The following is a 9,595-nucleotide window of genomic DNA, read 5'->3' as shown; positions in this document are numbered from 1 at the left end:
CTTGGGAGGCTGAGGCAGGAGAGTGACATGAACCCCGGAGGCGGAGCTTGCAGTGAGCTGAGATGGCGCCACTGTACTCCAGCCTGGGTGACAGAGTGAGACTCCATCTCAAAAAAAAAAGAAACTCTCAAATACTTGTATATACACACATACACAAAATTCATTTCTTATTTATTCCTCACTTATCTTTAATCATATATCAACATGTGATTAACATATGTCAAGCTAACATTTGTTAGTGTGTTCTATGTGTCTGACACCTGTGCAGGTGCTGAGAGCCTAAAGGTAAACTGAGCTTTAGGAGAGCACAGTCTAGAAGGGAAGTCAGGAGGGTTCAACAGGGTTAAGTGGCATAATAGAATTAAGGACAGAGGGATGCGGAGCAGGAGGGAGCGCCTAGGAGAAACAGGGAAGACTTCTTGGAGGTGGTGGCACAAAGGAAAGTCAATCATGAAGGTCTAGAATTTTTAGTTCAGAGAACAACTATTACCAGCCCTCTAAGTGCCAGACACTGGCTAGATACTGGAGAATCCAGACATAAGCTAGACACAGTCAGCACCCTTTTGGAGTTTATAATCTAGTAGGGAGATTATCATTAATCAAAGAATAACACAGAAATTAAATTGCTATTGCAGTAAGAGCTTTTTAAGGAAAAGTATACGTGCTAATCGTATACTTTCTGGGGAGCTGAGCGATATGACAAAAGTGAGAATAGGCTTCCCTGACAGAGTGACATTTGAGCAGAGACCTGGCGGACAAGTAGGAGGGGCCAGCCAGGAGGAGGGATGGTAGAAAAAGCTTCCAGGCAGAAGAAACAGATATGCAAAGCACGAATAGGAGAGGAAGCTCGGAGTTTTCTAGAAACTGAAAAGAAGCCAGACTGGAAAAGAGCAAGGCAGGTGAGAGTGTCTTAAGATCAGGGCTGGACAGGTGAGCGGGAGCCAGACACACACACACACACACACACACACACACACACACACACGGAATCTGGGGAGGAGAATTATGAATTTAAAAGTGCCTAACACTGTGCCTAAGGCATAAGAAAATATATTATTTTCCCTCTTTCTGTACCCAGCATAGGTCTGTCTGTTTGACTGGTCTATGGAGTCTGCAACTTCATCCTGGTCTCCAGGAGTGTATTCTGTCCTATCGGCTCTGATATTTATTTCTAACCTAATTTTCCAGCTTGTCCCCTGCGTCTGTGACAACTCATAGTTTTTGGTATGATTACCCATCTGTGTGATGGAGTAGCTCATTCATTCAATTATATATTCAACAAATGCTTATTGAACACCACTTTTGTGCAGAAGTCCATTCCTCATTGAGCTTACAGTATAGCAAAGGCGTACGGTACATGCATAAAAATTATAATGGTGAACATGATAGTGGAGGCCCTAGATAGTGCACCAAGGCAAGGAAAAGAAAAATAAAGGTAAGATTGTGTTCATAAGAAATCCAAAATAATTAATAAGGGGTTTTATTCAGGTAGCTGGATATAATAGCAGTATAGAAAACTCAGTTGTGTTCCCAAAAATTAACAATAAAGTATATAAAAATAGGAAGCAACTAATATAAATATTTTTAAAGATATGTAAGTCTTCTATGGAAAAAAATTTTAAACTGCATTGAGAAATATTGAAGAAAGCCTAAATAAATTGAGCAATACTATATTCATGGATTGGGAAGACCCAATATTGGAAAGATCCTTATTTTCCCAAATTGATTTGCAGATTTGTATATCTCATGTATCCTAATCCTAATGAAAATCTCAGCAACTTTTTGTAGCATTTGACAAGTTGATTATAACATTTTTATGTAAATACAAACAATATCTCAGACTCTTTTGAAGAAAAACATTGAAGTAGGAGGATTTGATCTACCAGACACCAAGATATTTTTAAAGTTGTAGTATAGCAGGGTATTAGCCCAGAGATAGACAAAAGGCCAATGGAGCAGAATATAGGAGACAGAAAAGGTAGGACAGGACATGTAAGGACACTTGATATATGATAGAGGTCCATGGCAAGTCAGTGGGGAGAGGAGAAAAGAATGTCTTTTCAATGATGAAATCCAGGTAGATGAAAGTTCTATGTGTGAAAGGAAAAATGCTATAAGTTTTTAGATGATAATATGAAATATTATCATATGAGAAATATATGCAATCTCTCAAGATTCAAAAATGAAAGATGCATGAATTTGACTACATTAAAATTAAAAACTTGTGTTCATTAAAAGATACAATAAGAATAATAAAAGCTCAAACTGCAAGGTGGGATAAGATACAAACGTTGTATGTTAAAAATGTTGCAATACATTGAGAATAGGTAAAGAACTAATCCAAGCCAATGGGAAACACTCAATCCAATAGAAAAATGTGCAAAACCCAGCAAGTTAGCAAAGAAGAAATCCAAATGGCCAGTAAATATGTGTAAAACACTTTATTAGTAATGAGCAAATGCAAATTAAAACCACAAAGAGATAACATTAGAGATAACACAAAGAGATAATAGAAGGAGATACCACAAAGAGATAACACTCATCAGATTGGCAAGAATTTAAATCTGACAGTATTATTTGCCAAAATCTATTGGCAAAGATGTGTAATAATGGGAAGTCTCAGTCAGTGTTGTGGAGGGGATGGTGTAAATTAGTTTAACTGCTTTAGAAAAACAACTTGACGTTATCCACTACAGTTGAAGATTTATTCCACTTAAAACTCAGTTCTCTACTACTACGTACACCCTAGAGAAACTCATATATGTGTATGAGGATATATGTACCAGGATGTTTAAGGCAGAATTGCTTATAGTAACTCAAATCTGAACCAACAATGAATGGACAAATAAATTGGATATTCTTACAAAGGAAGATCAACTGTTAATACAAATAGAAGCAGCTATTTGCAAAGCGAATGACTCTCAAACTGTGTTGAACAGAAGACATAAGACAAAATAATATATGCAACATGATTTCCATTTATATAAAATTTTAAAACAAGTAAAACCAAACCATATTGTTTACAATGACATGTCACAGTGGGAAAACTATAAAGTAAAGCCAGAGAAGGATTATCATAAAATTCAGAACAGTAGTTTCTTCTATGGGAGAGGGAGAAAGATGTGATTAGAAAAGGGTACCTGGTGAGCTTCTCCTGCTGGCAATCTTCTACTTCTTGACCTGGGTGGTAGGTACAATAGGTTCACTTTATTACTATCTATTAAACTATACATTGTACATGTGCACTTTTTAATTTTTCTGAATGGATGTTACATTTTCTCCAATACGATTAAAAGAAAAACCATTGCATGTATAATTTGAGTACTCCCAAGGATTTCCAATCTTCTGGAATCACTCTTCTTTTTAACATCCTAATGAGGATAATGAGTCCCCATCATGTGCGACTGTGGGGAGTCTACTCCTCATCACCATGAATTGCTTTCCAGTCTCTGGATTATTTTAAATGTCCTCTCACTCCAAACTGTTAACTCCAGGGTGCATCTGGGCCACCTGACCACTGCCTTCCCTTGCAGTGATGCAGCTGCAACCAGCTGGCCCCAGAACAGAGGACCGGGTGCTCTCCACCTGCCCTGGTCCAAGCAGGGACTTAGTAGTCACGAAACCTTTTTAATCATCAACTCATCAGTGAAATATTTAACATGTACAAATGGATGAATATTTGTGAATAAATTTTGTACATGTACTACCATTATTAGCTAACATTTCAAGTGGATATACACCTGTATTTCAGAAATATTGACTTTTTTGGTCACCACCTTGAAAGATCTAATTAGTCATCACTGTATTTTTTCCTTAAGATGTATTTGACAAAGAGGCATTTTCTCGGGGTTCATTTTGTTTGCATTATCAGCCTTAACTTCAACTTTCAGTTTCTTTGCAGGAATATTTTTAAACTGCTAGTCCATTTTTTTTGTGAGGGTGAATTTCGTTAAATCTAGGTGATATAATCCATAAACTGACTCAACTGCTTATGTGTAAATTACAACACATTTCAATAAGTCAGAAGTAATGAATAACGCTATAGAAGTTATTCATTGCAGGTAACAAATTAGTCTAAAAAACTTAAAAAAAAACAAACAAACATTTATTATCTCACAGTTTCTGTGTGTCAGGAACCAGGCATGGAGTAGCTGGGTGCCTCTGAATCCAGGTCTCCCATGACGTTGGGGCTACCATCAGTGTCATCTGAAAGCTGGTCAGGATCGGGTAAAGGTAGGGAAAAGGGGGTTATCTGCTTCCAAACTCACTCATGTGGTGGTTGGCAAGCCTCAGTCCCTTGCCATATGGTCTCTCCATGGGTTGCCTTATAAGAGAGAACCCAAGACAGAAGTCACAATTTGACCACAGGCATGAGTCCTCAGCCAGGGCCAGGTTCATCGCCACGTGACCTGGGCAGTCACACAGGGCCCTGTGCTCATAAGGGCCCTCTGCACTTGGTTTAATGCTGTGTTGTGTCACTCCAAAGTACTTAATAGCTTTTAAACAAGGAGCCCCACGTTTTCGTTTTGCATCAAACCTTACCAATGATGAAGCAGATCTTGCCTCTGGAAGTCATGCTTTTGCTAAATGTCACTGACCTCAGGTTAGAGCTGGATTTCACCAGGCGAGGACACCTAACTTGAGAGCAATCAGATTCTCTCTCAGGAATTTCGCTAGTCGGAGACTGGGAACAGGATTCAAGTCACATAAATGGTGAAACTCTAAAGACAAGGTCCAGACAATGATGCTTTTGAGGTCACCAAAAGCAGCCATCGGTGCTTCCCAAGTCATGGTCATCCGGTTCTTCCCTGGATTCCATGATATGTCCCAGGCTCTTACTAATAAATTTCTCTTTTTGCTTAATCTACCTATATTTGGGTTTTGTTCTTTGTAGCCAAAGAATCTTAATAAATTCAACCAATTTTGTGGGTTAATGGTACTTTAGCTAGGATGTATAATAGTCAGTGGTGTGCTGGTGGTGGCTTACACACTGTCTAGTCAATTTTGTGCATCTCTTCTAAAATCCAAGTTCAATGATGCCATGCATGTAGCTGGAAACCCACCACAGTGGGATTATTTACACCACGTAAATCAGCAAATGCTGCAAATCAGTAATTTCAATGCCCCGCCCCCCCCGCCCCCCCCCCCCACCCCCCGTGAGCCTGCTGTTAAACATTTACCAGCTCACTACTGGACCTCTTTCTGCTTTAGGATACAGTGAGAGTGTTACATGGAATTGGGCTCTGTCAGAATGAAGCAGGGAAAAAAGAGACAGGTCACAAACGTAACAGAAATATCCAAACCCTTGAAACTCATGGTGTAGTTAGTGGCTGCTTTCGGGTGGTCTCCAAACCCTTGAAACTCATGGTGTAGTTAGTGGCTGCTTTCGGGTGGTCTCCAAACCCTTGAAACTCATGGTGTAGTTAGTGGCTGCTTTTGGGTGGTCTCCAAACCCTTGAAACTCATGGTGTAGTTAGCGGCTGCTTTCGGGTGGTCTCCAAACCCTTGAAACTCATGGTGTAGTTAGTGGCTGCTTTCGGGTGGTCTCTCTAGCTCACTGTGACCCCCTCCCTGAGAATTGCTCCCATGACACGGTTGCCTTTAGCAACCATGACGCCCTCCCATCACCAGTTTTTTACACGGGGGTGAACCCGTCATCTGAAGTGGGCCAATCAGATTCCCTCTCTTTTGGAATGTGAAATTGGGATTCAGTAATTTCCTGTTCGAGATGTCAGAAGAGAGCAAGTAATTGTTTCTCCTCTTCCGAGACTCCAATAGAGTATAAAGGAATAAATCCACAAATACAGAAGACAATCATTATCAAGCAAGATATTTCAACACATTTTTGGGAACCTACTGACAAACAAAACAGTGTGGGGAATAATCAGCCCAGACAGCCCAAGAGGCTACTTCAACAGAAAGGCCAACTTGCCCAACAGAATCCCTGGAAAGTCTCCAAGCTCGGTTGGTGGTTGGTAGGTACAAAATTCTACTTTCTAAATGACTGCATCCATTGTTCCTCCATGCGTCCCTCTCCTGTCCTCTCCACTATTCCTAGGAAGGCAGCCCTGTTCTTTACCTACAAGCAAAACAAAAGAGGATCCAGCTTAAAGAGAACTAGGACTGCTAGGGCAGATGTCAGTGTCTCAGAATAAAGACCTCTTCATTCTCGCATGTGGGGCCCTCCCAGCCCCAAATCTGGTATCCCACCTGGAAACTCCTCCTTTGTTTATTCTGAAGTGAAATCTGCCATTTGTTGAGCCCTGCTCACATCTACAAATTTCCCAGTCAAACATTATTTTTATGAAAGAGCAGTGTATTAGTCTGTCCTAACAGGTAATCTGTCCTCAGGTGAAGAAATACCTGAGACTGGGTAATTTATGAAGAAAAGAGGTTTAATTGGCTCATGGTTCACAGGCTGTACAAGAAGCATAAAGCTGGCATCTGCTAAGCTTCTAGGGAGGCCTCAGGAAACTTACAATCATGGTGGAGGGTGAAGGGGAAGCTGGCACTTCACATGGTTGGAGAAGGAGGAAGAGAGGTCAGGGAGGTGCCATGCACTTTTAAACAACCAGATCTCATGAGAACTCAGTATCATGACCACAGCACCAAGGGGATGGTGTCAAACCATAAGAAACTGCCCCCGTGATCCAATCACCTCCCACAAGGACCCACCTCCAACACTGGGAATTACAATTTGGCATGAGATTTGAGCAGGGACACAGATCTGAACCATATCCAGCAGGAAAACTGACATACACGTAAAACAACAAGGAAAACCCTCCTAGTTATCTAGAAACAAGCCAAGCTGCTCTCCTATGCTGAATTATGAATGGAAAAACAAAGCGAACCAGACCTCAGAATAAAATGAATAGCAAGAAAACAAAGCAAAACAGAATGAAACACAATAAACTGACCCTGAAACAAAGAAGATAATTAAGGGAACACAAGAGAAAATTGAAAAGCAAATAAATAAAAAGCACAAATATCTAATTAGTACCCTAAGTGAGAGTGAGAGGTGAGAACAAATTCATATAACAAGAACAGGGTACATTGAGAAAGGAACAAGGCAAAGAGACAAATGGTGCAAATGAGGCAACGAGAAAGAGCTCAGGTATGTTAAATGTACGACTGCCAAGGTGAAATTCTAAGTGGGAGGCGGCCATTTTCTCCACGTGGGATGGAATTCAGGGACATTTTAAAACTTAGGAGCTGGGTTTACCATCTTCCCCCATATGAAAGCATCAGCAGAGAAAACCGACCTTCAGAGAAGAGTAAATAAATAAATAAATAATAAACAGGAAACACAAAGAGAAAACAGAGCAAGAGCACAGCCCAGACTCCCAGTATCCTTCCAGTTCCCGTTCTGTGCTCCTGGAGATACCCCACTGCCTTTGGGTTCTGTGAGATACCTTAGTAACTTTTTAATAAATTCCGTTCTTGGTTCAAACTAGGTCAAGTTGCTTTTTGTTAGACAGAAGACAAAAGGGCCTTAACTAAGACAAAAGGTTGGGAAACTGGAAGGTGATCAAGTCTTAAGTCCCTTAGGATCAAACGTGACTAAATGGGGGTTCAGCAGAAGAATCAATCCAGCGAGAATCTCGTGTCCTTGTTCTTGTGGTTAACTTTTCCTAAATATTACCCTGACATTCAAATTATAAAGTTGGACAGCAGATGCCCCACATACAGTGTTTTCTGCATTTACATTCATTTTCTTAGCATCTTGAAAGAAAGATGGGGCTTAGCCTGCCAAATCTCTAAGCACCTTCTAATAACCTATTCAGACATCATACGGAAGGATTAATTGAACCATTTCACACATTAATACAGTAGCAAACAAATGAACCTACCTTTTCATGTATCCAAGGCAGCCTGGGAACGTTAAATGCAACTATTCTTGATTTACCTGAAAATAATATATTTTTATCCTTAAAGCCAGACTTGGGAAATAGCAACCACCACCACAACAATAAAAAACCACTCTGGAGAGAGAAAGAGAGCCACACATCAGCAATTCGAATGGCAGACCATGATATCAGTCCCTAGTTCTTGTCTTCCCTCCTCAAGATGTTTTGCCCAAATGTCCTTTCTGGGAGGCATTGGAAAGGAGGTTCAAAAAGCCAAAAGATACAGGAACCTTGGTGGGTTCTGATATGGGAAGAACATACATGTCCTGGTAGGGTTCCCCTAAAGGAGAGAAATGTGGATTTGATGGGAGTAAAAGACAAAGAAACGTTGTCAAGAAAATGGTCTCATAAAATGAAGGATGCAGGAATTCGGGAAGATGAGTTTCCTTATCCTAAAACCAGCTTTGCTTTTTTCAAACATACAGCAACTTGATTTTTCTTTGTTGATTTTGGTCTTGTTTGTTTGTTTGTATTCCAGGCTTGAGACAGTTGCCTTCTCAACCCAGCCACAGACCATGAATTTGTTGTTTAACCCAAATACAATTGAGTGTTGCAGGAAAGAGGAGAGGAAACATCTCACACCCAAGTGGCCCACGCCATAAACAAAGGGGAGTCTTACTGTGCCAGCTCTTGGCTTCAGCGAGGCCCAGCGGGAAGCCGATGTCCCTGTGCCAGGGTGAGGGCAGTCACCGAAGCAGATGCTGGGCCACTGAGAAGAGCGATTGATTTCAGAAGCTCAAATTCCTCAGGGTGGCCGCCGTCCTCCTCCCCTTGGTGGGAGGGCGGAGGTAGCTGGGAGCTGTGTTGGCCACCACTGGCTGCCAACGCAGCTCGAGTTGGGAGAGTTGTCGCCAGTCTCTGGCTGTAAGCAGGAGGTTTGTTAGGAATCAGCATTGTCTACTTATGAAGATTTATGGAGAAGCTGACAAACATTAAGCTTTGAAGCCGAAGTCAGGTGAGCCCTCTCCCCTTCGTGGAGGATTCAGCGAGGCAGCCTGGATGATCAAGAATGATTTCCTCTCCCCGCTGGTTCCCATTGGTATTCCAACTCTGGGCCTGGCCCAGGAGGAAAAGCAAGGGAGAAGCATGGCTTTCTGGCTCTCCTCATCCTTCTTCGGAGAGAAGGAGAGGGACTGGCACTTTTTGTGGCATTTCACACGGAGGGGGAAAGGCCAAGATAAATGGATAGTTTCAAGGTCATTAGCTTCCTGAGCTCACGGTGTGCTTTCTCTGCCAGAGGACTGCTTGGAGAAGTTATAAATGTTTTGCGGCTGGACCAGGGGAGCCCATTGTTGGATCTGGGGTCCTAAGACCTGCTGCCAGTGGCAAATCTGGACTCTGGGGCTGTGGAGTGTGCCTTCTCTCCCTTCACACACTCGCCCTGAAAGAGCTCGGGCCACAAAACGTGGACTCAGAGCACTTGGAAAGCTCTGGAGCCCTCGTCATGGGCGACTGCCCTGTGTGGAGGGGACCTGGGAAAGGCAGGCAGGGAAGAACTTAGAAAGGGCCTTTTCTCCTGGCATTCGCTCTTCCTAACCTGAGAGGAAAAAAGGCAGAAATTAGAAATGCAAAACCTTTAAAAAGAAGAGGAGGCAGCCTCGGCGGGCTGACAGTGAGTGGGGTGGAGGCCAGGAGGGTGGGGCAGGGCAGGAGGAGACTGTGAGATTAGCGATTCCCATTCCGGCTCC

The sequence above is a fragment of the Homo sapiens genome, chromosome 1, assembly GCF_000001405.40.
Source record: "Homo sapiens chromosome 1, GRCh38.p14 Primary Assembly".
Classification (NCBI taxonomy): Eukaryota; Metazoa; Chordata; class Mammalia; order Primates; family Hominidae; genus Homo; species Homo sapiens.
Note: the sequence above shows the minus strand (reverse complement) of the source record.